Genomic DNA, 27588 nt, shown 5'->3' on the forward strand with positions numbered 1-27588 from the left:
TGTGAGCCACCGTGCCCAGCCCATTTTATTTTCTGTCCTGAAATGTATGCTTCATTCATGGTTTTTGCTCTTACTCCCCAGTAACTGCATTAGGGCAACTGTTTAAGGCAGGACACTTGGCCGTGAGAGGTCCTGTTGTGTTGACCCTGAGATGCCAGAGTCACGTTCTGTGGCCCCAGCTTGGCCTTTGGGGTACACTGTTGGCTGCCTTCCACCTGCTCTGGGGTTTCTGGCATTTGTTGTGTGCACCCTCATTGGCCAACACTTGGGAACCCCAGGGTTTTGGCATTTGGTGCTATTGGTCACCCTCTGGATGGCCCACGGTTTTGGCACTGACATTTCTTCTAAGATTGTAGGTTGGAGGCCCACCCTAGCGGACTCTTGGTCTTGCCTTTTCTTGCTTACTGCCCTAAAACCTAAAATTATAGCTTTTGGTAACAGCTTTTTCTTTTTTTGAGATGGAGTCTTGCTCTGTCGCCAGACTGGAGTGCAATGGCGCCAACTCAACTCATTGCAATCTCTGCCTCCCGGGTTCAAGTGATTCTCCTGCCTCAGCCTCCTGAGTAGCTGGGATTACAGGGACGCAGCACCACACCCAGCTAATTTTTGTATTTTTAGTAGAGACAGTGTTTCACCATGTTGGCCAGGATGGTTTCAATCTCCTGACTTCGTGATCCGCCTGCCTCAGCCTCCCACAGTGCTGGGATTACAGGCGTAAGCCACAGCACCCGGTCTCCCAACAGCACTGGGATTACAGGCATGAGCCACCGCGCCCGGCCTCCCACAGCGCTGGGATTACAGGCGTGAGCCACCTCGCCCGGCCTCCCACAGCGCTGGGATTACAGGCGTGAGCCACCGCGCCCGGCCTCCCACGGCGCTGGGATTACAGGCCTGAGCCACCGCGCCCGGCCTCCCACGGCGCTGGGATTACAGGCCTGAGCCACCGCGCCCGGCCTCCCACCACGCGGCCAAAACTCATTTTCTACTGCAACACCATTTGGGCGCAATGCAAATTAGGAGAACATAAAATCTGGCCTTAAATGGTTCTTTATGTCATAATAATATTTTACAATTATTTAGTAAAAAAAGAAAGCAAATGGAGAGCGGTCTCTTGGGTACAGGTGTGTATGGCCCTTTACTGGTTCTCTTACTTCCAGGCACAGGAAGCTAGGGGGCCCCTCATAGCTGCTCTCCCTGGAAGGACACCCTCCCTGGAGTCTCCTCAGTTCCCCAATTCTGAGGGGGGGTCCCACCAGCTATCTAATGCAGGATTCCATCAAAAAAGTCATCAGGCGTAACTCCCCGTTATCCCACTAGCCCCGGCCTATATGTCCCACTGCCCTAGTAAGTCCAAACGGTACCACCAGGAGTGGGGCCCCCTAGTCCCCAAAACCAAAACTGTGTCCACGGTAAGAGGCAGCTGATGACAGTGGGGGGCACTCAGAGTGCAGGTGCCACCCCCGTGGGGTGACCCTCCAAGTGTCCTGCTCCCAGCTGCCTCTCTCGCCCACAGATGTCATGGGTTACAAACCAGTCCCCCTCAGGAACGAGAGCACCTTGGAATCATTCTGTGTTTCCAAAACTTCCCTCCTATGGCCCTGCAGGAAGGAGCCTGTCATCCTGATGGGCAGAGGACTCAGGCCCCTCACAAGCCTTCGGCAGAAGGGCAGGCACACAGGATTGGATGCAAAATCCAAAACTTCAGTACAGCAGGGAGCAAGGAGCCCGGAAGTGGGCGCACTGGCTGTGCACACGCCTGGACACTTTCACAAGCACACAGAACGACCACCTACCACGTCCATAACGCTCCGGATGTCCTGAGTGGAGAGAGTTGTGTTTATTCACCATGTCATACGCGCATATAGGGAACCTCTATTTAGGAGCTGGTGGCCTGCACTCAGCACCGCACAGATAAAAATATACGACTTTCAACACAGATCCAAATACCCTCACATTTTAAAAGTCAGGATTCCCTACACAAGTTTTAAGCTGACGGGATTCAAGTTCTGAGTTTTCATACATAGCTTTAACTTGTATTAAACACATGTTTATTTACAACGTGGAGAGAGAATAAGGGGCAGTTAAGGCCACTTTCTCCTGTGAAACACTGCAAAATATGTACATAAGTACAACCTAATATAGGCAAAGGTTCTAAAAATCATCTTTCTTGGCTTCACGTAATTGAGTATCAGTCGGGGAGTGGAGAGCGGCTGCCGATAGCACCAGGCCATGCCAGGCCACGCCAACAAGGGCGTGTGCATTCACTTTTTCATTGAGCTGCCCTCAGAGCTGCTGCCGAGCTGAGCCCTGCACGGGCCCAGGTGTGCGCCGCACCCCAGACCGGTCTGAAGCACGTGTCACCGGTCCCTCAGTTCCATTTCCAAATCCACCAAGGTCCAGTCGACAGACATTTCCAAAAAGAATCCTGTTCTAGGACCACTTGCGCTGAGAGCACACCCGGGGGTCAAAGGGCAGCCACCGGGGGTCAAAGGGCAGCCATCAGGTACTCCCCAGGGAAGGGCTTGCGGCCACCAGTCACTGCAACCCCGCCTCACCTCCGATGCCTGCTGTGCCCAGGGTGGTCCCGCTCATAGCGACGGCCTGTGCGTTCATACGACCTCGAGCGCTCTCGTCGCTGATCTCTGTAGTAATGACTTTTCTTCTTGTATTTTCCCGGATTATCCGCCCGCTCCCGTGACCTGCTTCGAGAACGGGAAGAACTCCGGCTCCGAGACTTGTGTGGCTTCTGGGGGTACTTGCAGTCCTTGGACTTCCGGGAGCCCCGAATCTCAGAGCCTTTGTAGGGAGCGCTGCGGGGGGCCTGTCTCGGTGGGGAGTCACTCCTGCTCCGGGAGCGGCTCTGCGACTTGGACCCACCAGATGTGGAGCCGCTGTCACTTTTCCTGGGAGGAAGAACAGCACCACCACACGTGTGACCATCTGGCCCGGCCAGGCCCCACACACCCACAGGAGCTCAGACAAGACACACAAGCTCCAGGTTTAGAGAAACAAGAAACCACCTCAGGGTGAGAATGATTACCCCGAGGGACAGCCCCACCCCGGTATCGGCCTCCTGGGTGCGCCCTGAGGCACACACCTCCTCTTAGGAGACGCTGATCGGGATGGGGACCTCGAGTAGCTCTGCTCACGGCTCCGGCTCCGACTCCGACTCTCTCGCCCCTTTGGCAAGCTGTGAACAGGACAGGAGCCAGTTACAAAGCAGAAGTCCCTCCAGCCAACCCTGACAGCCACCTGGGCAGCCCTGGGGTCCTACCCGTTCACGGGGCTGTCCGCCTTGGCTTTCTTGGCGCCCTCCAGCCTCCTCTTGGTGTTCTTCACAGACAGTGGGGAAGGCTTGCTCCCTTTACCTTCTTTGGGGGATTCCACTAGAATCAGAACAAGAGGTTAAAAGCCAACCACAAAACACTCTCCCAATAAGAAACAAGTTCGTAGAGCGAGATAAGGCCCCTCTACAGGTCAAACAGCGACGCAAGCAGACTGTAACTTCCGGCTCCCAGCTGGGACCCAGAACTTACACAGACATCACAGAAATGCAGATGGGGCTGGACGCGGGGGCTCACGCCTGTGAGCCCAGCACTTCGGGAGGCCGAGGAGGGCGGATCACAAAGTCAATACATTGAGACCATCCTGCCCAACATGGTGAAACCCCATCTCTACTAAAACTACAAAAATTAGCTGGGCTTGGTGGCACGCGCCTGTAGTCCCAGCTACTCCAGAGGCTGAAGCAGAAGAATCGCTTGGACCCAGGAGGCGGAGGTTACAGTGAGCCGAGATCACGCCACAGTACTCACCTGGCAACACAGCGAGACTCTGTCTCAAGAAAAACAAAACAAAACAAAAAAACCCCAAAACATGTGAGTGTGTGTCTCTCTCTCTCTCTCTCTATATATATATATACATAGACACACACTCACACACAAATTACCTGAGCGTGGTGGTGGGCGCCTGCAATCCCAGCTACTTGGGAGGCTGAGGCACAAGAATCACCAGAATCTGGTAGGCGGAGCTTGCAGTGATCCCAGATAGCGCCACTGCACTCCAGGCTGGGCAACAGAGTAAGACTCCGTCTCAGAAAAAAAAAAAAAAAAAAAAAAGCTGGGTATAGTGGCTCCCACCTGTAATCCCAGCACTTTGGGAGGCCAAGGCGGGCAGATCAACTGAGATCAGGAGTTCAAGACCAGTCTGACCAAAATGGAGAAACCCCATCTCTACTAAAAATACAAAATTAGCTCAGTGTGGTGGCGGGTACCTGCAATCCCAGCTACTTGGGAGGCTGAGGCAGGAGAATCGCTTGAACCCGGGAGGCAGAGGTTACAGTGAGCTGAGACAGCGCCATTGCACTCCAGCCTGGGTAACAAGACAGAAACTCTGTCTCAAAAAAAGAAATGCAGGCCGGGTGCAGTGGCTCATGCCTGTAATCCCAGCACTTTGGGAGGCCGAGGCGGGTGGATCACGAAGCCAGATTGAGACCATCCTGGCTAACACGGTGAAACACCATATCTACTAAAAATACAAAAAATTAGCCAGGCGTGGTGGCGGCCACCTGTAGTCCCAGCTACTCAGGAGGCTGAGGCAGGAGAATGGCATGAACCCGGGAGGTGGAGCTTGCAATGAGCTGAGATCGCACCACTGCACTCCAGCCTGGACGACAGAGCGAGACTCCATCTCAAAAAAAAGAACTGCAGACAGGCCCTTTGCATCACACTGAACTCTAGGTCTGATGACGTGTATCATCTATGGCCCCACACTATAACACCTTCATCAGATGACAAGCTACCTGGGCAGCAGGATAAACAAAAGCATTTCAGACAACCTGTCATACTCCCTGCTAATCAACAGAAAGGCCAGGTGCCTATGCTCCTAGCACTCTGGGACGCTGAGGCAGGACAATCACTTGAGGCCAGGAAATTCAAGAGCAGCCCGGCCAACATAGCAAGACCCAGACTCAACTAAAAAGATAAAGAATTAGCTAAGCACAGCTGGGCACGGTGGCTCACGCCTGTAATCCCAGCACTTTGGGAGGCTGAGGTGGGCAGATCACGAGGTCAGGAGATCGAGACCATCCTGGCTAACCTGGTGAAACCCCGTCTCTACTAAAAATTCAAAAAATTAGCCAGGCGTGGTGGCGGCCACCTGCAGTCCCAGCTACTCAGGAGGCTGAGGCAGGAGAATGGTGTGAACTCAGGAGGCGGAGCTTGCAGTGAGAGGAAATTGCGCCACTGCACTCCAGCCTGGGCTGGAGCAAGACTCTGTCTCAAACAAAAAGAATTAGCCAAGCATGGTGGCATGTGCCTGTAGTCCTAGCTATGCAGAAAGCTGAGGTGGGAGGATCACTTGAATCCAGGAGTTGGAAGCTGCAGTGAGCTGCGATCACACCACCATACTCCAGCCTGGGTGACAGAGACCCTGTCTCAAAAAAAAAAAAAAAAAAAATGTCTGGAAGGAGCACATACCCCAGAATGGAGGCGGGGGAGAGTCACCAGTCTTTGCCTTTGTGGGGAGTGGATTCCTGCACTCTAACAGACTCACCCAGCTTGGGGGCAGGAGAGAACCCCGAGGTACCATCCAGCACCTGTGTGCCCCCAGGCAACAGGCCCCGGGCTTGGGCCTTTGCCTCTTCGATAGCGTGCTTTCTTTTTTCCACTTCACCCTCCAGGTGTGTGAGATCAACCTGCAAAAGCCAGAAGGTGTCCGTTCAGAACCAGGTGTTTCTGGCCAAACACAAACGCATACGTTACATGAAAAAATGCCGAAGAACCTTTTTCCGAGCATAAAGCTGCAAGATCTTTAAGCAGATTTCCTGAATTTCTTCTTCAGTTGCTCCAAACAAAAGAAACCAATGGGGACGATTGGGCAAAGGGATCTGTAAAAACAAACACTATCATCATTACACTTTCCTCAACTTCACGGCCAGCAAGACTCAGGACAATTAAAAAACAGCCTGTTGGTCACGAAAATGCTTTGGCCCAGATTAGAGTAATTTGAAGAATAACACAGTAAAGTTTACTGGAGGCTGGAGAAAAAAAAATCAGACTAGAATCTCTCCATAGTAGCAACACACTGACCTCCAGCGTCCGGGCAGCAAGATAAATGCAGGCACAGGCGATGCTCTCTGGCTGGAACCGCACGAAGACGTCGGTGCGAAGGCTGTCGTTCATGTAATTCCTGGAAGCCAAACACAGGAAGAACTGCAATGCCCCACCCGGGAACCCAGGTCTTCCGCCTGCATTATCTAGAGAAAATCTAGATAAACGTACTACTCCTCTAAGGAGTCTATTGCTAGGACTCAGAGCTAGACAGTCCTGTGAATCTCAAGAGTTAATGGAGAAATATTCTAGCTGCTTTTTCTAAATACAGTAAATACAGGACAGAAAGGCACAGAAATTATTAGAAAAAAAAAAAGCTGGCTGAATGTCAGACAATACGTGTTGCTATGAAAGAGAACCGACTTTAACTTTACTTTTCCCCTCAACCTTGGCCTGCTCTCATGCAAAGCACGATGCCTCAGAAAGAAAATGTCTACTGGAGTCACTAAAACGCTTTTGATTAAAGAAATCTAAATGCTCAAAATCCATAGTGCAGAGAAACATGCAAACTCAAATGAACTGGCTGAGCACAAAGCCGGTGTGGCTGCTGGGAGACAAGCCATCCTCTTGGGTTCCTCTTCCTCTTCCTCCAGGGCGCTGGCGGCAGGCCCCTTCTCTGCTGACCGAGCTGCAGCTTCCTTGAAGGAGTCCACTTGGAAGAGGGAAAAGCCCCTTGGGTGCAAGTTGGACGCGTGGGAGCATCGTGCGGAGGGAGACTCCGCACCCAAGGGCAGGCCTCTTCTCGGGCTCATCAGAGCCGCTGCCAACTGTCCCATTTCAACAAGGGGTCTTAAAATGAACATTCATAGAATCAGAAGCAACACAATACTGAGAAGCAACATGATACTGAGAAGCAACATAATACTGAACATTTCATCACAGTACATTCTTTAACTTTCATATTTAGAAGCTATAAACATACAAAAATTTACATTTTTTAAAAGTTAAAGCATTTAAAACCTGGCTACATTTTGAGCATTTCCTTTAGATCTCTAAGATTTAATAGACTAAAACCAGACCTTACACTAGCTTTATGAATACTGCAAAAACAGAAAGGGTGATTCCATGAGGACAGTTGAACTGGTTTTATATTTACTGCTCCTCACATACCCCAATAACGGGGAGCCTTGGAGTGGGGCTGCACCCGCAGACGAGGTGGGTTGTGAGGGAATCTGACCCATGACCTTCCAGCAATATCTCTGTCCTAAATAAACCTTGGAGAAGGTAACATACAAACCCACTCAAGAGATTTCTAAATGGGAAGTCCTACAGGTGCCTCTTGGAGACACCCGGCTCTGGAAGCAGCTCCAGGCATCACGGGGGAATCTGTGTGGCGGCCGTGTGGCCCCAGCCCCTGATGCAAGCGTGCCAGTGCACAGCTCTAACACAGATACATTCAACAATCAGTAACCTTTCGGTGTCTAATCAACAACTGTCAGTATTCAAGTAGTGATATTAATCCACGAACTTAAAATTCTTAAAAACAAATGAAATCTTGAGAACATATAAACTTATTGCTGTATTTGAAGTGATACAATATTTTTCAAAGTATCCATGAAATAATTTAAAGATGCACACCTTTTACCAGAGCGTGTCATGCAAAGCTGCTCAAAAGAGCAACTTCAGGGCTTCTAGAAATCATGACATAACCCCACACTGACACAGCCAATTTGTCTCTTCAATTCTCACAGCTTTCCATAGCATTTTTTTTTAAGAGAAAGGTACTGCATCTTTATCATACAGGTACAGCAGTTTTAAAGGGACAAAATTCAAGTCAAGACAGTTACCAACTCTAATCAATACGATTACCAAAGCACGACAGAGGATTAACAAGAAGCACAATCGTCAGAGAACCACAGCAGGAGTCGGCCATGGCTATGCTATGTGCGTACCACCAGTCTAGAGCCAGCCTTCGGTGGAGAGCCTGCACTGGATTGGCTGAAGATGCCGCTGTCCCTGCACCAAAGCGCTTGGACAGCAGAGGAGAAGTCTTAGTCACTTACCCTCAGAGGCTACCCTTTGATTGAAAGAGTACAGAAAAGAAAAGTCAAAATAGGTTCTCTATTAAACATGTCATAGCACCAGACAATTCAGTCAGCAAAAATATGACCCTTACAGACTTAACTCCATGGGAAAAAATTCACCAGAATCCCCAGAATCCCCCAAATACTACATTGCACTTTAGGGTTCCTTTCTAGCACATGCATTGCTAAAATCGGCCCCAGAACCTTCTCTGCCCCTCTCCCATGGGATGCAATGTCAGTGGAGAAACAGACCAAGTCTGCACTAGCCTGTCCCTCCACCCTCCCCAGGAAAAGGTCCCCCTGCGCCAAGTCAACAGCTCCCAGAGGAAGCCCACTGACTGCTCTCTTCAGGGTGGGGGACACAGGAAGTCCAGGCTTGCAGGGAGGGGACGGGCCACCTACCGTGACTGCCAGTGCCCATTTTGGGAGTCTGATTGGAATTTATACAGCAGGAGCACTGGGCACTCGGACAACTCCAGCCCACAACCAAGTCACTGGGCTGCCTACCCACTGCCCAAGTGCCTCAAGTCAACACATTCCTGCACTGCCCTTGCTGGTCTCATAAAACAAGGAAGCTCAACTCACCATGAGGTCTGGACCAGGTGTTGGTTACGCTCACACTCTAACACCTGAAGGTACATAACGATTATCTGGAAGATACGGGTCAGGCAGTTATTACCAAGAACCTTAAGAGCCCAGAATTCAGATCTTGTGGGTGTCCATGCAGCAAACAAGAGCCTCAAGCTAGATCCCAGGAGTGGCTCCTGGCCACACGTCTGGCGGACGGCTCAGCTGGAGGGAGCTTTGCGATTGCACCTGCTGTCTGCCTTGGCAGCCAGGCAGGACGCATGCCCGTGAGCCCAGCCACACAACCCACGGCACAGGCCTCGTTCTTCATGGGGCTGGTTTCATTCTAGTCTTCAATGCCTTTCCACCAGTGAGGTTGGCCTGTCCTACACGTCTCTGTATCCCAGTTAACAACTCACCAAAACACAATATGAACATACTTTCAGCAAACAGAGAAGAACACTTCAGGCCAGGCACACTGGCTCATGCCTATAATCCCAGCACTTTGGGAGGCTGAGGCGGGCAGATCACCTGAGGTCAGGAGTTCGAGAACAGCCTGACCAATATGGAGAAACCCAGTCTCTACTAAAAATACAAAATTAGTCAGGCATGGTGGTGCACGCCTGTAATCCCAGGTACTCAGGAGGCTGAGGCAGGAGAATCGCTTGAAACCAGGAGGCGGAGGCTGCATGAGCTGAGGTTGCGCCATTGCACTCCAGCCTGGACAACAGAGCGAGATTCCGTCTCCAAAAAAAAAAAAAAAGCACTTCAATCTGTGGTGGGCAATTTGTGGATAATTTGAACAGATGGCAGAAAGCCGAACAAGCAGATGAGGAAACCCACCAATAAAAAGGAGATGGAACCAAAGATGGAAACAATTTTTTGGGAAAACAAGTGCTTTGTTTCCATGTGACACAGAAGGCACCCACAACGCTGGGAGTGAGGGACCGTGTCACGGCCATGGTCCTCAGTCAGTACATGCCGCAAAACTCGCCAGTCATTTCAGACTAAAGGGGCCAGAATTCCCCTAATTTCTCCATAAGAGAAAGTAAAGCTATCACTAAAGCAAATGTAGAAAATTAACTGTTGAGGCTGGGTGCAGTGGCTCACACTTGTAATCCCAGAACTTTGGGAGGCCGAGGCAGGTGCATCACCTGAGATCAGGAGTTTGAGACCAGCCCGGCCAACATGACGAAACCCCATCTCTACTAAAGATACAAAAATTACCCAGGTGTGGTGGCGCATGCCTGTAATCCCAGCTACTTGGGAGGCTGAGGCACAAGAATCACTTGAACCTGGGAGGCAGAGGTTGCAGTGAGCCAAGATTGCACCACTGCACTCCAGCCTGCATGACAGAGTAAGACTCCGTCTCAAGAAAAAAAAAAAAAAAAAAAAAAAAGGCCAGGCACAGTGGCTTATGCCTGTAATCCCAGCACTTTGGGAGGCCAAGGTGGGAGGATCACGAGGGCAAGAGATGAAGACCATTCTGGCCAACATGGTGAAACCCCGTCTCTACTAAAAATACAAAAATCAGCTCGGCGTGGTGGCACGTGCCTGTAGTGCCAGCTACTCAGGAGGCTGAGGCAGGAGAATGGCTTGAAGCCGGGAGGTGGAGGTTGTGCCTCCACTGCCACTGCCACCATGCCACTGCACTCCAGCCTGGCGATAGAGCGAAACTCCATCTCAAAAAAAAAGAAAACAAAAAAAAATTAACTGTAGAGAAAGGAAAACATAAACTAAAATTCAACATTTATAAACTCACCACTATTTTTGAAAGCCCAAACTTAAATAATACCATTTCCAAAACACTTAAAAATGTGTTACTAAAATAAACAGCTGACACTAGAAGACGAATACGTCAGGAACTATTCTTGAGATTATAAATAGAAACTGGAAAGCCAAGTCAGGGATGCACTCAGTCCTCTTCAGAGCCTTCAACTGCACTGAGGTGGAGAGAGGCGGCCAGGCAGGAGCAGCGGCCTAGGCGGGCTCGCAGGGCAGGAGCCGCACACCCACCTTATGAGGATGCTTCACATGGACGCAGAAACCCAACTCTTTGAGAACTCGTCTTTCCGCCTTTATAATTTGGTTCTTTAAATTAACATAATCTTGATCCAGTAGTAGAGGCACGGGCTTCCTGCCAGAGAGAGAGCACAGGGTCTGCACCACAGTCAAGCAGAGCAAGGCTTCTGAGATCCCGTCGTTACCTCCAACTATGAGCACCTAACACAAACCCCACAACACAACATCGCTATGAAGTCCACATCCTCTGATGAACAAAACTGCACACCGCTCCCCACAGCCCAGTGCCAACCTCCTCATCCCTTCCCAACGATCCCTCCCTGCTTTTCCTTATAGATCAACAGCTTCTGGTGCACAAGCATAGACCGAACATAGCAAGTTTTAGGATCTCGTGGCACAAATGCTAAAGCACTTTATGTGACTCACGATAGGAAGGTACATATTCACAGTTCAATAACCACAGAACCAATGAAAGCACAATTATTTAAATACAGATGGGCCAGGTGCAGTGGCTCTGCCTGTAATCCCAGCACTTTGGGAGGCGAGGCAGGCAGACTGCCTGAGCTCAGGAGTTCAAGACCAGTCTGACCAACATGGTGAAACCCTGTCTCTACTAAAAAAATGCAAAAATTAGCCGGGCGTGGTGGCGGGTGCTTGTAATCCCAGCTACTCAGGAGGCTGAGGCAGGAGATTCACTTGAACCCAGGAGGCGGAGGTTTCAGTGAGCCGAGATCGCATCACTGCACTCCAGCCTGGGTGACACGGTGAGACACAGTGAGAGTCCGTCTCAGAAAAAAAAAAAAAAAAAAAGGGCTGGGTGCAGTGGCTCACACCTGTAACCCCAGCACTTTGGGAGGCCGATGAGGCCATGTTTTTTCTTTTTTTGAGATGGAGTCTCACTCTGTTGCCCAGGCTGGAGTGCAGTGGCGCGCTCTTGGCTCACTATAACCTCCACCTCCCAGGTTCAAGCAATTCTCCTGCCTCAGCCTCCCAAGTAGCTGGTATTACAGGCATGCACCACCACGACCAGCTAATTTTATATTTGTAGTAGAGATGGGGTTTCTACATGTTGGTCAGGCTGGTCTCGAACTCCCGACCTCAGATGATCCACCCGCCTTGGCCTCCCAAAGTGCTGGGACTATAGGCGTGAGCCACTGCGCTCGGCAAGGCTGTTTTTTTTTTTTTTTTTTTTTTTTTTGAGACAGAGTTTCACTTTTGTTGCCCAGGCTGGAGTGCAATGGCACAATCTCAGCTCACTGCACCTCTAACTCCCCGGTTCCAGCGATTCTCCTGCCTCACCCTCCCGAATAGCTGGGATTACAGGCACCCGCAACCACACCCGGCTAATTTTTTTTTTATTTTTTTTTGAGACGGAGTCTTGCTCTGTCGCCCAGGCTGGAGTGCAGTGGCCCGATCTCAGCTCACTGCAAGCTCCACCTCCCGGGTTCACGCCATTCTCCTGCCTCAGCCTCCCAAGTAGCTGGGACCACAGGCACCCGCCACCACGCCTGGCTAACTTTTTTGTATTTTTAGTAGACGGGGTTTCACCGTGTTAGCCAGGATGGTCTCGATCTCCTGACCTCGTGATCCACCCGCCTCGGCCTCCCAAAGTGCTGGGATTACAGGCGTGAGCCACTGCACCTGGCCAATTTTTGTGTTCTTAATAGGGACAGGGTTTCACCATATTGGTTAGGCTGGTCTCGAACTCCTGACCTTAGGTGATCCACCTGCCTAGGCCTCCCAACGTGCTGGGATTACAGGCCAGCCCGGCCAGAGGCTGTGTTTTCTAAAGGACTTCAATTAACTTCAGGTGCATAAACCCTGGGCTAAGGTCAGAGGCAGCGGTTCTCTGCTGGAGAAATTTTACTATTCCAGGGCCATGAAGCAACATCAACAGACTTTCGTTTTTTTTGGAAACAGGGCCTCACCCTGTTGTCCAGGCTGGAGTGCAGTGGTGACATCACAGCTCACTGCAGCCTCAATCTCCTGGCCTCAAGCAAACCTCCTTTTTCAGTCTCCCAAGTGCTGAGATGACAGGTGTGAGCTCCCACATCTGGTATGAGAGAATTTCTGGCTGTCACATCTAAGGTGGGGTACTCCTGTCATCCAGTGAGTCGAGACCAGGGATGTTGCTGAATCCTGCAGCACACAGGAGAATCCCCTACAACTAAAGATTACCCAGCCAGATGCGGTGGCTGAAATCTGTAATCCCAGTGCTTTGGGAGGCTAAGGCCAGCAAATCCTTGGAGCCCAGGAATTTGAGACCAGCCTGGGCAACACAGCATGACCCCATCTTTACCAAATAAAAAATAAAAATTAGCTGGCATGGTTGGCGTGCTCCTATAGTCCCAGCTACTCAGGAGGCTGAGGCAGGAGAAACTCTTGAGCCTAGGAGGTTGAGGCTGTAGTGAGCCATGATCATACCACCGCACTCTGCCCTGGACAACAGGAAACCTGTCTCAGGAGGAAAAAAAAGATTATCCAGCCTGAATGTCAATAGTGCTGAGATTAAGATTCCCTGCTCCAGAGCACTCAGAAACTTGTGGGACAGAAGCAGCAGCAGGGCCGTGCACTGACATGGGTAAAGCAGGAAGCCAGCCCCAGCGCGACCCGCCACAGCGCACTGTCCTCACTGGAGCCCCTGCCCTTACTAAACCGCATCTACTGATGCCTCTGAGCAGGCTCTGTTGGTGGAGCTTGAGACTGCGCTCATGAATATCCCACAGGTTTAGAGCCTCAGGCCTGTATTGTGTTATACAAGCCTTACTGTAACTTAATCAGAAATAAAGAAAATAGGCATCTATGATAGACTAGACAGCTCTGACTGACTCACTTTTTGTCTCTCAGCTGTCGAAGGCGGTGAAACACATTGATGACGTCCCGTATGCGTCTTGGGGCCTCTTCTATCTTGGAAGCCAGGTGGACACAGGCCATTGACACATGCTGAAGCGGAAGCATTGCAACACGCCCATGTTTGTCCCCAGCCACGGCGTCCTGACGGCCGCCAAAGGCTTGAGGGCTATTCAGACCAAAAGGGAGGTGCACCCAGGGGAAAAAAAAAGTCAAGAAACAGAACCCTCCGGCACAGAGCTCAGACTGGGGGGCAAGTACTCACTCCCTTAGTAACCGGGCAAAGTAACAAACCGTTTTACCCTCAACATACTTCGCTGGGAATGAAGTGCAGGAGGAAGCCTTACCTCCATGGAGTGCTTCACGAAGGACTTGGTATAAAAGAACCGCTGGAACAACACCTGCCCGGTAGCCATGGCCACCTAGAGTAGAAGAAAGTTTCCGTATTTTCAAACGCACCATTCAAAGCCTTCGCGGCCGAAAGTCATCGAGTAACGTGGGACTCCCCACGCAGAACCAAACACTGAAACGCTTCCCACGTCCACAAAGGCTCTTCGCGTCCCGCCGTCTCGGGATCCAGCGCACTGGCGGGCGGGGAGGCCCCGGGTCAGGGGCATGGGCTGGCTAGGGAATGGCGCCGAGGCTGGGGTCGGGGCAGGGGCTGGGGTCGGGGTCTAGGCGGGGGCGGTGCGGGCCCGACTCGCCGCCAACAAAGGCGGCTGCCGCCCCAGCGGTTACCTGGGCCGGAGGCTCGCGGCCGCGCCCTCACCTGCGGCAGGCGGAGCAGGATACCGGCCGCCTGGATGAGCTCGCAGCCCACCACGCGGAGGTCGGTCTCTGTGTCGGTGTCGAGGCCGCTCGACATGGACGGCGTGAAACGGAGCTTGTCGTCAGGCAGGAGGCAGTTCTCCAAGGTGATGAGCACCCCGGAGTACAGCCTGTCCCCGATCAGCACCCCCTGCGACCCTGAGGGTGCGCCCCCAGATCCCGGGGCGCCGGCCGCTGCCGCGGGAGCTGCCGACCCTGCAGCACCAGCCGCCGCCGCCGCCGCCGCCATTTTGTGCCGCCGACTCCCCTTCGGCTTCTTCCCTCAGGGCGGCTCCTCGCGAAGCTCCACGGCCGCCACCGCCCCGCCCCGTCGCGTGCCATTGGTTCGGCCCGCGACCAGCGCGACGCCGCCTAGCCGCAATTGGCTACATAACCTGCCCGTCAGCAACGCGCCTAACGCCGACGCCGGAACCTGGCGCGGGTGGGGCGGGCTCGTTACCCAGGGGACTCCGCGGTGCCGGCCGACCCGGAAGCATGTCTGTCCCTAGCGGAGGCGCGGGTGCCGTGCTGAGAGCGCCTGCCTGTGCGCCCCGAGCGGGGCTGGGACTCTTCCAAGATGCCCACGTTCGCACAGAGACCCCGGATCGCGGAAGCTCGCGTCTCGAAAGGCCTGTGGGTCAAGGGGGGCCATCTCGGTGGGATCTGGGGCGGGACGACCCCCACTGCTGAACCCTGGGCGCGGGGCAGGGTCAGAGGCTCCGCTCGGCCTCCCCCTGGATGAGACGCGCATGCCCGGTGTCCCCCGGCCGCCGTCGGCGTCGTGTCTTCAGTCCTTATCGACTCCAGACTTTGGGGATGCGTATTAACGCCAGACTCCTGCAAAGTCTTGCCTTCAACACTCAGCCCCTGGGGAGAGACGGGTGGAGGGATGACTGGAAACGTGGCCTCGACGTCCCTACAGAGCCCCTCCAGCGTGGGGAGGCCTAAGTACCTCAAGGTTCAGGCCCACGGAAGGAGTCGGGGGAGCGAGGCCCGGTGATCTACGTGTGAAGGAGCTTGGACAGGACCTCACAAACGCCAGGGAGACGGCGAGGGGGTTCGTGCGTTTGTAACGTCTTGACATCGCTGATCCTCCCGCAGGCGGTCTCACGCCCTGCCCGTCCTGGGTTCACGGTTTTTCATCACCTGCGGCTGTCCTGCGATCGACCACAGCTGTGCAGGAGGGGCAGGAGGTATCTGTTGCTGCAGTTACCGGAACCTTTGCCAGGACTAGTACAGGACCACGGGTGAGGATGGTGGGGAAGCCTGCGTGGGGCAGGGAACGGTGAGGCAGGAAGAGGGAAGGGCAGCAGAGGCCTGAGTGGTTGCAGGTTCACACACTGAGCTGCCAGTAACTGCCCAGCTCAGACGGGCTCAAATTCAGAAGCCACCATTGCTCCTCACCCCCACCCCCAGGTCAGCTGTCCACTAGCTCTGCCATGACTTGATACTGCAGCTCAAACAGTGCCAACCAAAACCCACTCTCCTCACCGCCTGTTATGGGTAACACGGTATGGTTACAGCTTTACTCATGTCCTCTTTCCCCAGGCTGGTAGCTCAGGGATGTCTCGTCTGTGAGTTACAGCTGCACGCTCTCCAGGAAAGAAGGAATTTCCTCTTCTCTGGAAACCCCACCACACAGCTGGTTTCTCATTGGTGCTGCTTGCCCATTCCCTGAGCTGTGACTGCCAGAGGAGTGGGAGGTTGGTGGTGCCTCCAGCCCATCAGGGGCAGGCCCTGGGACCGCCTGGGAACAGGAGGACTATGGCACAAACCGAGTGAGTGATGGGAGCAACCCGCAGGGCTCTGCCACATCCCTGTCTTCCTTCACTGACATGAAACGCAGAAAAGGCAGCTTTGCCACAACACAGGAGCACGCACCGAATGTGGCCGCCCAGGGCTCTGTCCTTGACCCTGTTGTCCAGGACTGTTTACCAAGGGCTGACAGGCACTGAGTGCCCCGTGCACCTGGCCAGACACTGCACTCATGCAGCGGAAAGGACAGTGAACGAGACTTTGTCCCTGGCCTCCAAAGGCTTAGGGCGTAGTGGCTGTCATGAGGCACAGTGACAAGGGCCAGGAGGGGGACCTCTTAGGGGGCCATGCAGTGATGGAAGCCAGAAGGAATGAAGGCCTGCAGTGAGGATGGAGTGGTCGGCCTGAAGCCATCTCTAGCAAGTGGTCAGGACGCTGATTGTTCTGCGCAGGTTGGAGGTAGGTGGTGAGTCTGAGAAAGGGGCCGGAAAGACTCCCCAGCAACTGCTGGCAAAGGGTGAAGGGCACGTTCCCACAGGATTCAAGCCAGCTGCCTTTGGAGGGGAGACGGGCACTCAGTTTAGGCGCTCCTACAGCAGGGTCAGCAAGACAAGCAGGTTGCGGCAAGGGTCTGCGCACTGCTGTGTAAATGTAGGGGCATCGGGGGGCAGAAAGACCAGGGGAGAAGTGTGCATCACCCTTGGGGTTAAGGGACAGTTGTCTGCTAGGTGTTGCTTCCTGGAGATGGCTGAAAAGCCAGTCCAGTCTGCAGGGACCAGGCCACCACCCACCTGATGTGGGAGCATTTCCCCCAATCCCTGCTGGGCTGCTGAATCTGGGGGACATAGGGAAGCTGAGGCTGGTGTTCTGAGTAGTGGCAGAGCTGAGCCACAGGGCATGTCTGAGGTCAGCCCCGAGCAAAATGGAATAGGGACTCAGGGTGGGTCAGGTAACTGGAAAGCGGGCACTGTGCACGCAGCCCTTGAGGGGAGCCAGGGTGGGTGGGGATCCCCCACTGTGTGCAGAAGGCAGCAGCCTTGGAAGCAGGGTGTGCTCCTCGGTGTGGTCGCTCGATACCAGAAAATGACTCTAAAAACTGAAGAGTGTTTGAGTTTCATTCACACAAAACATGGACATCATCTGTGAGGCTCTGTCCCAGAGAGACAGGGCCATCCCTCATGTCTGTTATTGGGTTGTAGATAAACAAAAGTATAAATCAAACAAACTGCAAATTACTCTGTCTCTTTTCCTAATCAATACAGCAACAGTCCTCAGTGGTACTGCACCACTCTGGAAAAAATGCCTTCAGGTTCCTTCCCATCCCCCAAGGCAGCAGCAAATCCTTCGTGTCGCCTCCTACTGGCCAAGGCAGCCAAAGATTTGAAAGTCTTTGGCTCGTAGATGGCCAGATCCGCTAGGACTTTCCTGTTGAGCTCCACCTGGCACTGAAAAAAGAATGAATCAGAACCTGCTGTCAGTGTGAGACACACACTCCGGCTCCGCGTGGTTGCGGCGCTGGCTCAGGAAGAACCCAGCTGCACACTCGCCTGGGGGGAGGGAAGGCCTAGGAGAATCCTATCTGGGTGGCACAGCAGAGGACTTCCAGGCAGGATGCTGAAGGATAAATGTGGACACGGGTGAGGGAAGCACCTGTGGAATCTGCAGGGAGGCTGGACTCCAGTCCTGATGTCGGCCCGGGGAACCAAACACCTTGTTCAGGGTCCTTGGTCACCACCCTGACTGAGCTGACTGCTGGCCTAGGGTAACCCTTTAAGCCAACCTGGAAGTGCCTGCAAGAACCACAGAGGATTTCAGAAGCTAGTGAACAATGCCAGAGTTTAAGGAGTAGAAAAGGGGGGCCGTCTCTTTGAGCATTAAATTCAGCTACCAAGGCAGGGCACGGTGTCTCGCCTGTAATCCCAGCACTTTGGGAGGCCAAGGCAGGCAGGTCACCTGAGGTCGGAAGTTCGAGACTAGTCTGACCAACATGGAGAAACCCTGTCTGTACTAAAAAATACAAGAAAAAAAACCACAAGGCCAGGCGCGGTGGCTCATGCCTGTAATCTGAGCACTTTGGGAGGCTGAGGCAGGCGGATCACCAGGTCAGGAGATCAAGACCATCCTGGCTAACACGGTGAAACCCTGTCTCTACCAAAAATACAAAAAAATGAGCTGGGCATGGTGGTAGTCACCTGTAGTCTCAGCTACTCAGGAGGCTGAGGCAGGAGAATGGTGTGAACCCGGGAATTGGAGCTTTCAGTGAGCCAAGATCGCGCCACTTCACTCCAGCCTGAGCAACAGAGTGAGATTGTATCCAAAAAAAAAAAGGAACAAAAACACAAAATTCGGCTACCGAGGACAAAGTGGCCTACTACCTGTGACCTAACTGTACTACCTGTGACCTGTATGCTTTGTGCAAAGTCTGTCTCCTTTCTTTCTTTCTTTTTTTTGAAACAGAGTCTCACTGTGTCGCCCAAGCTGGAGTGCAGTGGTGCGATCTCAGCTCATTGCAAGCTCCACCTCCCAGGTTCATGCCATTCTCCTGCCTCAGCCTCACAAGTAGCTGGGACTACAGGTGCCCGCCACCGCACCTGGCTACTTTTTGTATTTTTAGTAGAGATGGTGTTTCACCATGTTAGCCAGGATGGTCTCGATCTCCTGACCTCGTGATCCACCCGCCTCAGCCTCACAAAGTGCTGGGATTACAGGCGTGAGCCACCGTGCCCGGCCAAGTATGTCTCCTTTCTTAACTACAGTTCCCTGAGTAAAATGGGAAAGTCAAACCTCCTAAGCCTACCCTGAAGATCTTTGTAAAGCACCAAAGAGTGCCTTCTGCAAAATACCCACCCCCTCAACCTTTTAGGAAAAACTTAATGTACACAAGCAGAGGGACTAGCATAATGACCAGATTCAGTAATCACCAAGATTTTGCTACACTTGCATAAACCATCCGTTCGCTCCAAAACATTCCCCTTCCTTTCTGTAAGTTCCTATTTCACCTGCTATGTCATCAGAAATCACTCATTATTAAAACTTTTTGTTGTTGTTGAGACACAGTCACACACTGTCGCCCACGCTGGAGTACACTGGTGTGATCTCAGCCCACTGCAACTTCTGCCTTCTGGATTCAAGCCAATCTCCTGCCTCAGCCTCCCGAGTAGCATACAGGCGCATGCCAGCACCACGCCTGGCTCATTTTGTATTTTGAATAGAGACAGAGTTTTACCACATTGCCCAGGCTGCTGTCGAACTCCTGATGTCAGGTGATCAGCCCGCCTCTGCCTCTGCCTCTCAACATACTGGGATTACAAGTGTAAGCCACCGCACCCAGCCTCATTGTTTTAACTTTTTTTTTTTTTTGAGATGGAGTCTCGCTCTGTCGACCAGCCTGGAGTGCAGTGGCGCGATCTCAGCTCACTGCAATCTCCGTCTCCCGGGTTCACGCCATTCTCCTGCCTCAGCCTCCCGAGTAGCTGGGACTACAGATGCCCGCCACCACGCCTGGCTAATTTTTTTGTATTTTTAGTAGAGTCGGGGTTTCACCATGTTAGCCAGGATGGTCTCGATCTCCTGACCTTGTGATCCACCTGCCTCAGCCTCCCAAAGTGCTGGGATTACAGGTGTGAGCCACCGCGCCTGGCCTGTTTAAACTTTCAAATTAAACTTTGAAGTTAAAGTCAAGTTTTTCTACACTTTTTTTTTTTTTTGAGACAGAGTCTCACTCTGTTGCCCAGGCTGCAGTGCAGTGGCGTGAACTCGGCTCACTGCAGCCTCTGCCTCCCAAGTTCAAGCGATTCTCCAGCCTCAGCCTCCTGAGTAGCTGGGACTACAGGTGCCGGCCACCATGCCCAGCTAATTTTTCGTATTTTTAGTAGAGACCGGGTTTCACCTGTTAGCCAGGATGGTCTCAATATCCTGACCTCATGATCTGTCCGCCTCAGCCTTCCAAAGTGTTGGGATGCCTGGCCTTTTTTCTTAATGGGGAAACATCAGGACTTACATCCCAGAAAGACGTGCCCTGTTTCCAATTCTGCTCTGCTGCCAACCAGTGCGGTAAGCTCCCAGACCTGCCAGAACCCCACACCAAGACAGAGTGCAGCTACGGTGCAGCTGGAGTGGCACTCCTCGCCTCTGCCACATGGACTGCTAACAGGCTGCGCCAGGTCTGATGGGAGGGTTTGATTTATTTACTTTTAGAGATGGAGTCTTGCTCTGTTGCCCAGGCTGGAGTGCAGTGGCATGATCTCGGCTCACTGCAGCCTCCGCCTCCCAAATTCAAGCAATTCTCCTGCCTCAGCCTCCAGAGTAGCTGGAATTCTAGGTGCCCGCCACCACACCTGGCTAATTTTTGTATTTTTAGTAGAGACAGGGTTTCACCACGTTGGCCAGGCTAGTCTCCATCTCCTGCCCACCTCAGCCTCCCAAAGTGCTGGGATCACAGGCCTGAGCCACCCTGCCCAGCCATGGCTTTCTTTATTCTGTCAGACGGGGTCCTGCTCTCACCTAGGCTAGAGTGCAGTGGTACCATCATAGCTCACTGCAGCTTCAAACTCCTGGGGGCTCAAAGTGATCCCCCTGCTTCAGACTCCTCAGTAGCTGACATTACATGTCTCTGTACCACCACACCCAGCAAATTTTATTTTTTTGTAGAGAGTGGTCTCACTATGTTGCCCAGGCTGTTGCTGGCACTATTCCTAGGCACAATCTCATCACTCATCAACATGGGAATTGTGACCTGCTCCGTTTCCAGCCTGGGCTGGTTCACCCCTCCTTAGGCAACGTGGTGGTCCCTTGCTCCCAAGAGGTCACCATATTGATACCACACTTAACATGGACACCCCATCAGCATAGCAAACTACAGCCCAGAAGTCAGTCTCCAGGGATCCTCTGGCCTCAGCCTCCTGATTAGCTGGGACTACAGGAAGCACCACCACGCCCCGCATGATGGTTTCTGCAGATGTCCAGAATTTCAGTGGGACCCACATACTCACCCATACCTTAACTAAATTCCCAATGAGCGCTGGATACTTCAGTCCATGTTCCTGGCTAGCAGCTGTAATTCGATTAATCCAGAGCTGAAATAAGAAAACATGAAGATACTTAAAAATGACTTCTGGATGTTATGTCCCAGCAAAGCCTCTAATTGATCTAAAGAATATTTTTCTAAAAGTAAATAGCAAAATCAGTGAGCTATGATGGTGCCATCACTCTGGCCTAAGCGAAATCAAGACCCTGTTTCAAAATTAAAAACAGCAAAAACCCAGCTGGGCACGGTGTCTCACGCCTGTAATCCCAGCACTTTGGGAGGGCAAGGCAGGCAGATCATTTCAGATCTGGAGTTCGAGACCAGCCTGACCAACATGGCGGAACCCGGTCTCTACTAAAAATACAAAAAATAGCTTGGTGGCGCACACCTGCAGTCACAGTTACTCGGGAGACTGGGGCGGGAAAATCGCTTGAACCCGGGAGACGAGGTTGCATTAAGCCTAGATCGCGCCATTGCACTCCAGCCTGGGTGACAGCGCGAGACTCCGTCTCGGGGTAAGAAAAAAAAACCGGGGTACGTTAGATGCTAGGTTCATGAGGCTGAGACGGGAGTGGTGAGGCGCAGTAATGAGGCGGCACGTGGACAGAGTGGAGGCGCCAGCCTCCCAGAAATGCGGGGGGTTCCGGGTGGGCAGAGCTTGGCAGCAGGCGTGGTCTCTTCGAGGAGCACCACGGCAGCAGATAGTAGCCCTGGAGGGTTGGCAAGGGGCTGGGTTGACTTCAGCTGCCAAAGGGAAGGGAAGCCACCGGAGGGATGAGAGCAGCAGCGACTAGGGCGGTGGCTGGCGACGCAGGGAGAGTGTCAAGGCGGCTCTGCAGTGGCCCGGGCGAGGGGCTGGAGCAGGGGGTGACAGTGGGGGTGGCGGCGGGGCGGGAGAACGGATGTCCCACAGTTTGCCTGCGGGGCGACATAATTTGTCGGAGTTTCGAAGCAAGGTATGAAAGGAAGGGGCTGAGGGTGGCCGGGCGGCTGCACACTAGCTGGGTCGCGGCGCAGAAACGCAGGGGCCGCGAGTGCGCTGGCCGGCGGGTGTCCCGGGTCCACGCTTACGGTCCTCATGTTCTTTTTCTTCAGGTATCGGGCTTTGGTGCATTTCACAAAGGCTCGAATCACGGTTCTGACCGCCAACCTGTAGCAGCGATTTTTCCTTCCCCGGAAGTGCTGGGACAGAAAACGAGAAACCAGGGTTGTCAGCGGGGCCCGCGCCGGCCGCCCCTTGGCCCGCGGGATACCCCGGGCGCCCAGTGCCCAGGCCGGGCAGGCGGCACTCACCCTGGCGTGCTTCAGCACCTCCTGGATCCGAAAGTAGCGGTCGGTGACGCGATTCCGCAGCCAGAGCTGCGCGGTGAGGAAGACCATGGCGCCTGCAGGCCGGCGTCCCGAACACTCAACAACGCACGCGCAGCGCCGCTGCCATCTTGCCCGGGTCGGAAATGGTGGTCACGAGCGCTTCCGGGTCAGCCCCTGCGATACTTCCGGGGCGAAGGTCGTCTCCCGTCAGCCCGCGGGTGCCCAGTTGTGCTCCTGAACTCGCGGTGGTGGTGCGTGTTGGGGAGCGGATGTGGGGCCGCGGCGGGGACTGAAAGGAGAACGGGGCCGCAGCGCCCGTGGCTATTCGCGGACGATGGATAAACAGCAGCGCACGCGGACCGTCCCGGAGCACGGCCCCGGCCGCAGCTGTGGCTCCGAGGGCACCGTGAGGGCAGCGGACCCGGGTCGGGGGCCCCGCGGCCGGGGAGCTCGGGTGCGGCGCGGGCGGGGAGGGGCAGGCCGCCCCCTGGGGCCACGAGGATGTTCAGGAACCGAGGTGGAGATGGTCGCATCGGTGTGAAAGTGCCCGTTGCCTCTGAACCTTGCACTTTGTTTACTTACTCATTTTGAGACGGGGTCTCGCCCGGTCGCCCTGGCTGGGGTGCAGCGGCCCGACCTCGGCTCGCCGCGGCCTCTGCCTTCCTAGTAGCTGGGACGTCAGGCGCGCGCCGCCACGCCCGGCTAATTTTTTGTGTTTTTTGTAGAGGGGGCGTCTTCCCGCGTTGGCCAGGCTGTTCTCGGACTGCTGGCTTCTGCTGGGATTACAGGCCTGAGCCACCGCGCCATGCCTGGAAATTCTCAGCTTCGAAATGGTAAATGTGATCGCTGTGGTGCTGATGCCTGTAATCCCAGCACTTTCGGAGGCCGAGGGGGGAGGAACACTTGAGTCCAGGAGTTCAATACCAGCCTGGGCAACATAGTGAGACCCCATCTCTACAAAAAATCAAAAAGAAATTAGCCGGGAGCGGTGGTGGCGCGCGCCTGAGGTCCCAGCTACTCAGGAGGCTGAGACGGGAGGCTCGCCTGAGCTCTGGAGGTGGAGGCTGCAGTGAGCTCAGATTGCACCACCGCACAACAGCCTGGGCAGCGGAGCCAGAGTCTGTCCCAAAAAAATAAGAAGTTTTATATTATGTGTAATTTTATATTTCTGCTATATTATCGAAAAATTGGGGGTGTGCAGTTTCTTTATAACAGTTTATTATACTTGGATATTTTTTAAATCATAGAAGAGTTGGAATACAAGTACAAGGAAAACTCCCCAGTGTTCACTACCAAAATGTGCCAGCTGTTTTCATTTGTTCCATTTGTTTAATACTCTCGAACCAAATTCACCTACTATTTACGTTTTGCTCCATTTTTGAATCATTCTCTCTGTAAATATAAACATAATGGATTTTTTTCCTAAACCATTTGAGACGCTGGAGACACCTAAACACTTTGCTGTGTATTTACTCTTAGGAACCACACCGTAGAATGGTCAAAATCCGGACCCAGCCCACACTCCAGATTTAACTCGCTTCAAATGTCTTTTATACCTTTTTTTCCCTGTTGAGGATTCAGTCTAGGATGACGCACTGCATTTGTTGTTGTGTTTCTTGTTTTGTTTTGTTTTTTTCTGTTTTTGAGACGGAGTTTTGCTCCGTCGCCCAGTCTGGAGTACAAAGGTGCGATCTCGGCTGACCGCAACCTCTGCCTACCCGGTTCAAGTGATTCTCCTGCCTCAGCCTCCCGAGTATCTGGGATTACAGGCGCACACCGCCACTCCCAGCTAATTTTTGTATTTTTAGTAGAGACGGGATTTCACAATGTTGGCCAGGCTGGTCTCGAACTCCCGACCTTAAATGACCAGGCTGACCAACATGGTCAGCTACTCAGGAGGCTGAGGCAGGAGAATCGCTTGAACCCGGGAGGCAGAGTTTGCGGTGAGCCGAGATCCCGCCATTCATTGCACTCCAGCCTCGGAAACTAGCAAAACTCCATCTTAAAAAAAAAGAGGAGGCCGGGTGCAGTGGCTCTGCACAACACTTTGGGAGGCCGAGGCAGGTGGATCACCTGAGGTCAGAAATCCGAGACCAGCCTGGCCAACATGGTGGAACCCCATCTCTACTAAAAATGCAAAAAGTAGCCGGGCGTGGTAGCGGGCCCCAGTAATCCCAGCTGAGGTGGGAGAATTGCTTGAACCCGGGAGGCCAAGGCTGCAGTGAGCCAAGATCGCACCACTGCACTCTAGCGTGGGTGACAGATCAAGACCTTGTCTCAAAAAACAAGAAGAAGAAAAACTACTTTTTTTTTTTCAGATGGGGTCTCACTCTCACCCAGTCTGGAGTGCAGTGGCGCCATCTCAGCTCATTGCAGCCTCTGCCTCCTGGGCTTGAGTGATCTTCCCACCTCGACCTCCTGAGTAGCTGAACCACAAGTGCATGCCTGGCCAATTTTTGTATTTTTGGTAGAAATGGAGTTTCACCATGTTGCCCAGGCTGGTCTCAAAACTGGCCTCCCAAAGTGCTGGGATTACAGACACAACTGGCCTACCTGCAGGATTTTCAGTTTATGGACATGACTGACTGGAGACATGGAGAAGCTGTTGTTATTGGAGATTTTTATTACTCGCATTTCCTGAGCGATGGGGACACTCACTGTGGGGAAAAGCAAGAGAGATCAGATTGTTACTGTGTCTGTGTAGAAAGAAGTAGACATAGGAGACTCCATTTTGTTCTGTACTAAGAAAAATTCTTCTGCCTTGGGATCCTGTTGATCTGTGACCTTACCCCCAACCCCGTGCTCTCTGAAACATGTGCTACGTCCACTCAGGGTTAAATGGATTAAGGGCGGTGCAAGATGTGCTTTGTTAAACAGATGCTTGAAGGCAGCACGCTCCTTAAGAGTCATCACCACTCCCTAATCTCAAGTACCCAGGGACACAGAAACTGCGGAAGGCCGCAGGGTCCTCTGCCTAGGAAAGCCAGGTATTGTCCAAGGTTTCTCCCCATGTGATAGTCTGAAATATGGCCTCGTGGGAAGGGAAAGACCTGACCGTCCCCCAGCCCGACACCCGTAAAGGGTCTGTGCTGAGGAGGATTAGTATAAGAGGAAGGAATGCCTCTTGCAGTTGAGACAAGAGGAAGGCATCTGTCTCCTGCCTGTCCCTGGGCAATGGAATGTCTCAGTATAAAACCCGATTGTATGTTCCATCTACTGAGATGGGGAAAAACCGCCTTAGGGCTGGAGGTGGGACCCGCGGGCAGCAATACTGCTTTGTAAAGCATTGAGATGTTTATGTGTATGCATATCTAAAGCACAGCACTTAATCCTTTACATTGTCTATGATGCAAAGACCTTTGTTCACGTGTTTGTCTGCTGACCCTCTCCCCACAATTGTCTTGTGACCGTGACACATCCCCCTCTTTGAGAAACACCCACAAATGATCAATAAATACTAAGGGAACGCAGAGGCTGGCGGGATCCTCCATGTGCTGAACGCTGGTTCCCCGGGTCCCCTTATTTCTTTCTCTATACTTTGTCTCTGTGTCTTTTTCTTTCCTAAGTCTCTCGTTCCACCTTACGAGAAACACCCACAGGTGTGGAGGGGCAACCCACCCCTACACTCACACTATGCAGGGCGACATGAGAAGCCCCGGTGTTTTGTCAGGAGGCAGAGAGAGGGGAGAAAGCTAAGGCCAGAGCCTTGGCTGGGGATTCTGTGGGAAAGGCAGGGAGGGCGGGGTGAGCAGCTCAGAATGGGCCAGCTTGAAAAATGCCATCTTGGCCGGGCGCAGTGGCTCACGCCTGTAATCCCAGCACTTTGGGAGGCCAAGGCAGGCGGATCACCTGAGGTTAGGAGTTCAAGACCACCCTGGCCAACATGGTGAAACCCCATCTCTACTAAAAAACAAAAAATTAACTAGGTGTGGTGGCAGGCGCCTGTAATCCCAGCTACTCCGAAGGCTGAGGCAGGAGAATTGCTTGAACCCAGGAGGCAGAGGTTGCCAGTGATCCGAGATTGCGCCATTGCACTCCAGCCTGGGCAATGAGAGCGAAACTCCATTTAAAAAAGAAAAGAAAGGCCGGGCTCAGTGGCTCATGCCTGTAATCCCAGCACTTTGGGAGGCCAAGGTGGGCAGATTATGAAATCAGGAGATTGAGACCATCTTGGATAACACGGTGAAACCCTGTCTCTACTAAAAATACAAAAAATTAGCTGGGCGGGGTGGCGGGCGCCTGTAGTCCCAGCTACTTCGGAGGCTGAGGCAGGAGAATGATGTGAACCCAGGAGGTGGAGCTTGCAGTGAGCCGAGATGGCGCCACTGCACTCCAGCCTGGGGGACAGAGTGAGACTCTGCCTCAAAAAAAAAGGATAAGAAAAGAAAAATGCCATCTGGCCTTGGTGCATGGGGGCTGTCCTGGTCACCTGTTCCTGGCCCTGGGCGACTCAGGGCAGGGGATGTATCAGCTTGTGCAGGTGTTAGATGAGGAGGTGGGTCAGGGTACCGGCTCTGGATGGAAGTGGGGAGGAGAACAGCCGTGGCCATAAGTTTGGCCATGTAATTCATGGTTGTCAAAGTGACATATACAAATCTAAGAAAACACAGTTGGAACACCGCGGCCTACAGAGAGCAACTGAAAAGAGCGCCCCGGCGGTGTGCACACAGAGGGAAGGAAGGGAAGACAGAGGTGCCGTCCAGGTCCCAGGTCCCAGGTCCGTCCAGGTTCCCAGGTCCATCTGTCCCAGGTCCGTCTAGGTCCCGGTCCCAGGTCCGTCGAGGTCCCAGGTCTGTCTAGGTCCCAGGTCCCAGGTCCATCTAGGTCCCAGGTCCATCTAGGTCCCAGGTCCCAGGTCCATCTAGGTCCCAGGTCCATCTAGGTCCCAGGTCCATCTAGGTCCCAGGTCCCAGGTCCGTCTAGGTCCCAGGTCCGTCTAGGTCCCAGGTCCCAGGTCCGTCTAGGTCCCAGGTCCCAGGTCCGTCGAGGTCCCAGGTCTGTCCAGGTCCCAGGTCCGTCTGTCCCAGGTCCGTCCAGGTCCCAGGTCCGTCTGTCCCAGGTCTGTGCCTCCATCCATCATCAGGTTTAAGTCACATCAGTTGCTGTAGCAGGATGAGCC

At 53.2% G+C, this 27588-nt stretch overlaps 2 protein-coding genes, 2 long non-coding RNA genes and 1 pseudogene across 18 annotated transcripts, besides 14 other annotated features; 2 read left to right on the forward strand and 3 right to left on the reverse strand.

Moving 5' to 3' along the window:
* Window positions 1032-14656, reverse strand: CCNL2 (cyclin L2). Of its 14 annotated transcripts, none has more exons than NR_146722.2 (14): window positions 14340-14656; window positions 13918-13992; window positions 13554-13663; window positions 10715-10835; window positions 8717-8781; window positions 8000-8124; window positions 6618-6896; window positions 6087-6186; window positions 5780-5884; window positions 5551-5692; window positions 3947-4064; window positions 3275-3386; window positions 3098-3190; window positions 1032-2903 (listed from the first exon to the last, which is right to left on the reverse strand). NR_146722.2 is itself a non-coding variant. In NM_001350500.2 (13 exons), exons 7-13 carry the CDS (start codon window positions 6881-6883, stop codon window positions 2552-2554), a joined length of 1170 nt encoding a protein of 389 aa, NP_001337429.1. In that variant the 5' UTR covers window positions 6884-6896; window positions 8111-8124; window positions 8717-8781; window positions 10715-10835; window positions 13554-13663; window positions 13918-13992; window positions 14340-14656; the 3' UTR covers window positions 1032-2551. The 14 variants fall into 14 exon arrangements, 11 of the variants coding, with proteins under 11 accessions (NP_001337429.1, NP_001337428.1, NP_001307084.1 ...); NR_146723.2 differs by adding an exon at window positions 3813-3831 and having other exon boundaries at window positions 6087-6896; NR_135154.2 differs by adding an exon at window positions 4271-4368 and having other exon boundaries at window positions 6087-8124.
* Window positions 8283-8783: an enhancer, noted in NCBI's record as "H3K4me1 hESC enhancer chr1:1328342-1328842 (GRCh37/hg19 assembly coordinates)". NCBI's record gives its function as "activates a minimal SCP1, AML or CMV promoter by ChIP-STARR-seq in naive H9 embryonic stem cells {active_cell/tissue: H9 hESC(naive)}" and the evidence as "EXISTENCE:reporter gene assay evidence [ECO:0000049][PMID:30033119]".
* Window positions 14369-14548: a silencer, noted in NCBI's record as "silent region_69". NCBI's record gives its function as "represses an Ori minimal core promoter by ATAC-STARR-seq in GM12878 lymphoblastoid cells {active_cell/tissue: GM12878}" and the evidence as "EXISTENCE:reporter gene assay evidence [ECO:0000049][PMID:35858748]".
* Window positions 14619-14858: a silencer, noted in NCBI's record as "silent region_70". NCBI's record gives its function as "represses an Ori minimal core promoter by ATAC-STARR-seq in GM12878 lymphoblastoid cells {active_cell/tissue: GM12878}" and the evidence as "EXISTENCE:reporter gene assay evidence [ECO:0000049][PMID:35858748]".
* Window positions 14851-17367, forward strand: MRPL20-AS1 (MRPL20 antisense RNA 1). The gene is made up of 3 exons (NR_015434.1): window positions 14851-15010; window positions 15479-15624; window positions 15926-17367. It is a non-coding gene; the product is annotated as an MRPL20 antisense RNA 1 (long non-coding RNA).
* Window positions 15149-15208: a silencer, noted in NCBI's record as "silent region_71". NCBI's record gives its function as "represses an Ori minimal core promoter by ATAC-STARR-seq in GM12878 lymphoblastoid cells {active_cell/tissue: GM12878}" and the evidence as "EXISTENCE:reporter gene assay evidence [ECO:0000049][PMID:35858748]".
* Window positions 15594-16137: an enhancer, noted in NCBI's record as "H3K27ac-H3K4me1 hESC enhancer chr1:1335653-1336196 (GRCh37/hg19 assembly coordinates)". NCBI's record gives its function as "activates a minimal SCP1, AML or CMV promoter by ChIP-STARR-seq in naive H9 embryonic stem cells {active_cell/tissue: H9 hESC(naive)}" and the evidence as "EXISTENCE:reporter gene assay evidence [ECO:0000049][PMID:30033119]".
* MRPL20 (mitochondrial ribosomal protein L20) lies at window positions 17230-22614 on the reverse strand. Of its 2 annotated transcripts, none has more exons than NM_017971.4 (4): window positions 22452-22614; window positions 22230-22340; window positions 21130-21207; window positions 17230-17577 (listed from the first exon to the last, which is right to left on the reverse strand). In NM_017971.4, the coding sequence occupies exons 1-4, from the start codon at window positions 22536-22538 to the stop codon at window positions 17404-17406; spliced, it is 450 nt and encodes a 149-aa protein (NP_060441.2). In that variant the 5' UTR covers window positions 22539-22614; the 3' UTR covers window positions 17230-17403. The 2 variants fall into 2 exon arrangements, with proteins under 2 accessions (NP_060441.2, NP_001305414.1); NM_001318485.2 differs by having other exon boundaries at window positions 17230-17922.
* On the reverse strand, window positions 20781-21073 carry RN7SL657P (RNA, 7SL, cytoplasmic 657, pseudogene; annotated as a pseudogene).
* Window positions 21811-22477: an enhancer, noted in NCBI's record as "H3K27ac-H3K4me1 hESC enhancer chr1:1341870-1342536 (GRCh37/hg19 assembly coordinates)". NCBI's record gives its function as "activates a minimal SCP1, AML or CMV promoter by ChIP-STARR-seq in primed H9 embryonic stem cells {active_cell/tissue: H9 hESC(primed)}" and the evidence as "EXISTENCE:reporter gene assay evidence [ECO:0000049][PMID:30033119]".
* Window positions 22329-22388: a silencer, noted in NCBI's record as "silent region_72". NCBI's record gives its function as "represses an Ori minimal core promoter by ATAC-STARR-seq in GM12878 lymphoblastoid cells {active_cell/tissue: GM12878}" and the evidence as "EXISTENCE:reporter gene assay evidence [ECO:0000049][PMID:35858748]".
* Window positions 22478-23145: an enhancer, noted in NCBI's record as "H3K27ac hESC enhancer chr1:1342537-1343204 (GRCh37/hg19 assembly coordinates)". NCBI's record gives its function as "activates a minimal SCP1, AML or CMV promoter by ChIP-STARR-seq in naive and primed H9 embryonic stem cells {active_cell/tissue: H9 hESC(naive and primed)}" and the evidence as "EXISTENCE:reporter gene assay evidence [ECO:0000049][PMID:30033119]".
* Window positions 22559-22688: an enhancer, noted in NCBI's record as "active region_15". NCBI's record gives its function as "activates an Ori minimal core promoter by ATAC-STARR-seq in GM12878 lymphoblastoid cells {active_cell/tissue: GM12878}" and the evidence as "EXISTENCE:reporter gene assay evidence [ECO:0000049][PMID:35858748]".
* Window positions 22869-23058: a silencer, noted in NCBI's record as "silent region_73". NCBI's record gives its function as "represses an Ori minimal core promoter by ATAC-STARR-seq in GM12878 lymphoblastoid cells {active_cell/tissue: GM12878}" and the evidence as "EXISTENCE:reporter gene assay evidence [ECO:0000049][PMID:35858748]".
* Window positions 23146-23812: an enhancer, noted in NCBI's record as "H3K27ac hESC enhancer chr1:1343205-1343871 (GRCh37/hg19 assembly coordinates)". NCBI's record gives its function as "activates a minimal SCP1, AML or CMV promoter by ChIP-STARR-seq in naive H9 embryonic stem cells {active_cell/tissue: H9 hESC(naive)}" and the evidence as "EXISTENCE:reporter gene assay evidence [ECO:0000049][PMID:30033119]".
* MRPL20-DT (MRPL20 divergent transcript) lies at window positions 23669-26005 on the forward strand. The gene has a single exon (NR_170330.2). It is a non-coding gene; the product is annotated as an MRPL20 divergent transcript (long non-coding RNA).
* Window positions 24736-25623: an enhancer, noted in NCBI's record as "OCT4-NANOG-H3K27ac-H3K4me1 hESC enhancer chr1:1344795-1345682 (GRCh37/hg19 assembly coordinates)". NCBI's record gives its function as "activates a minimal SCP1, AML or CMV promoter by ChIP-STARR-seq in naive H9 embryonic stem cells {active_cell/tissue: H9 hESC(naive)}" and the evidence as "EXISTENCE:reporter gene assay evidence [ECO:0000049][PMID:30033119]".
* Window positions 25624-26512: an enhancer, noted in NCBI's record as "OCT4-NANOG-H3K27ac-H3K4me1 hESC enhancer chr1:1345683-1346571 (GRCh37/hg19 assembly coordinates)". NCBI's record gives its function as "activates a minimal SCP1, AML or CMV promoter by ChIP-STARR-seq in naive and primed H9 embryonic stem cells {active_cell/tissue: H9 hESC(naive and primed)}" and the evidence as "EXISTENCE:reporter gene assay evidence [ECO:0000049][PMID:30033119]".
* Window positions 26513-27400: an enhancer, noted in NCBI's record as "H3K27ac-H3K4me1 hESC enhancer chr1:1346572-1347459 (GRCh37/hg19 assembly coordinates)". NCBI's record gives its function as "activates a minimal SCP1, AML or CMV promoter by ChIP-STARR-seq in naive H9 embryonic stem cells {active_cell/tissue: H9 hESC(naive)}" and the evidence as "EXISTENCE:reporter gene assay evidence [ECO:0000049][PMID:30033119]".

Source organism: Homo sapiens, chromosome 1, assembly GCF_000001405.40.
Source record: "Homo sapiens chromosome 1, GRCh38.p14 Primary Assembly".
NCBI classification, from domain to species: domain Eukaryota; kingdom Metazoa; phylum Chordata; class Mammalia; order Primates; family Hominidae; genus Homo; species Homo sapiens.

Coding starts and splice junctions, on each gene's coding strand:
- CCNL2 (XM_011542216.4), bottom strand. CDS start 14,627: ATGGCGGCGGCGGCGGCGGCGGCTGGTGCTGCAGGGTCGGCAGCTCCC. Junction 13,740..13,917: donor TCGTGAAGCACTCCATGGAG/GTAAGGCTTCCT, acceptor TGGTCTGAATAG/CCCTCAAGCCTTTGGCGGCC. Junction 8,782..10,714: donor ATGTGAAGCATCCTCATAAG/GTGGGTGTGCGG, acceptor CGTATCTTCCAG/ATAATCGTTATGTACCTTCA.
- MRPL20 (NM_017971.4), bottom strand. CDS start 22,538: ATGGTCTTCCTCACCGCGCAGCTCTGGCTGCGGAATCGCGTCACCGAC. Junction 21,208..22,229: donor AGAAAAAGAACATGAGGACC/GTAAGCGTGGAC, acceptor TTCTTATTTCAG/CTCTGGATTAATCGAATTAC. Junction 17,578..21,129: donor TCATTGGGAATTTAGTTAAG/GTATGGGTGAGT, acceptor TTCTTTTTTCAG/TGCCAGGTGGAGCTCAACAG.